The sequence below is a fragment of the Homo sapiens genome, chromosome 2 (assembly GCF_000001405.40).
Source record: "Homo sapiens chromosome 2, GRCh38.p14 Primary Assembly".
NCBI classification, from domain to species: Eukaryota; Metazoa; Chordata; class Mammalia; order Primates; family Hominidae; genus Homo; species Homo sapiens.
Genome location: NC_000002.12, coordinates 218,183,714 through 218,185,401, shown reverse-complemented (window position 1 = coordinate 218,185,401; position 1,688 = coordinate 218,183,714). Strand labels below are relative to the sequence as shown.

The 1,688-nt window shown below is 43.0% G+C and overlaps 1 non-coding gene across 1 annotated transcript; it reads left to right on the top strand.

Moving 5' to 3' along the window:
• The first annotated feature begins 319 nt into the window (after nucleotides 1-319).
• Nucleotides 320-423, top strand: LOC124906159 (small nucleolar RNA U13). The gene has a single exon (XR_007088747.1). It is a non-coding gene; the product is annotated as a small nucleolar RNA U13 (small nucleolar RNA).
• The last annotated feature ends 1,265 nt before the right edge of the window (nucleotides 424-1,688 follow it).

Genomic DNA, 1,688 nt, shown 5'->3' with positions numbered 1-1,688 from the left:
GCCTTTGGAAGGAACTAACCCTGCTACATTTTGGTCTCGAACTTCTGGTCTCCAAAACTATGAGATAAGAAATTTCCGTTTGTTCAAGCTGCACAGTTTGTGGTACTGTGTTATGGCAGCCCTAGCAAACAAATCCAGAGGGGTAATGAGGTGGGATGGGGGGAGAGGGTGAGGGCAGGGAGATAGAGTAAAGCCTTGAAGGCCTTTAAGGACTTTAGGTTTTATCAGATTCACTTTTTCTCATGATAAAGTGGGATTTATTCCAAAAATTCAAGCATTATTCAACACCGGAAAACCATCAATATCATTCCCATACTAGATACTTTTGTAGCTCATAAGCATGATGATTCAGTGTCCAAGTGCATGCATGAGATGTGCCTCCCTCAAACCTTGTCACAACATCAGCACGTTGCTCATCTGACATGAACAAAATATACATAATTCACATATGAATGTATCTCAGAATAAAAAAAGTCATATAACTATCTTCATAAGCCTTTGACAAAATTCAAAGCCATTTTTTTTTAATAGATGAGGGGCTCTCCATGTTGTCCGGGCTGGTGTTGAACTCCTGGGCTCAAGGGATCCTGCCACCTCGGCCTCCCAAAGCACTAGGATTACAGGCATGAACCACCAAGCCTGGCTCAAAACCTATTCTTGATTTAAAGAATAAACTTAATAAAATAAAATACAGATGGTTTCCAACTTATGATGATTTGACTTAAAAATTTCCACTCTATGTTGGATTTATCAGGACATAATACCATGGCAAGTCAAGGAGCATTTGTAGGTGCTTTAAAAGCAAGTATTAACTAAACTCCAGATTTTATTTGGATTTGGCCTGTTTTTCCATTATCCCCTCTTTCTATTCCAGGATCCAATCCAAGACACTACATTTCATTTAGTTGTTAGCTCTCCCCAATCTCCTGTGGTCTGTGACAGTTTTGCTCAGTTTTTTTCTTGTTTTTTATGACTTTGACAGTCTTCAGAAATACTGGCCGGGTGTCCTGTAGAATGTCCCTCAATCTGCCTGATGTTTTTCTCATGATGCCTCTGAGGTTATGGGTTTTGGAGGGCATACCCCAGAGATAAGGTGCCTTCTCATCACATTGTATCAGTTGTACCTGAGGTCTATATATCCTCCCTGGTGATATGAGCCTTCCTCACTTGGGTAAGGTAGTGTTTGCCAGGTTTTTCTGCCATAAACTTAATTAAAATGCACTTAAAATGTTTAAAGCAATAGAATTTGTACTTTGGAGACATTGTGATAGGGACAGGAGGCAGGGAAATTCTGGGCAGAAGAGGGTGGGTCCTTGGCGAGGGCCCCACCCTCAAGCCGAAAAGCCTGGTACCACGGCCTAAAGTGAGAACATACATCTCTGTTTTCCTGCATGAATGTTGCCTTTTCCCAAATCACCCATGGCCTGCCCCACCCCCCATCCTGTGCCCATGGAAACTCCAGGCTCAGCTGGCAGAGAGAGGAGAAGCAGCTGGATGTCAGAGACTATGGCTGGACGTCAGAGAGAAGTGTCTTGACTTCAGAGGGAGAGTTTGATGGTATAGCTTTGGGGGAGGATTGCCTTCCCACCCCATCCCCTTTTCAACTCCCCATCCTGCTGAGAGCCACCTTCATTTGTAGTAAAATCTCCCTCATTTACCATCTTTCAAATTGGTTCGTGTGACCTCTT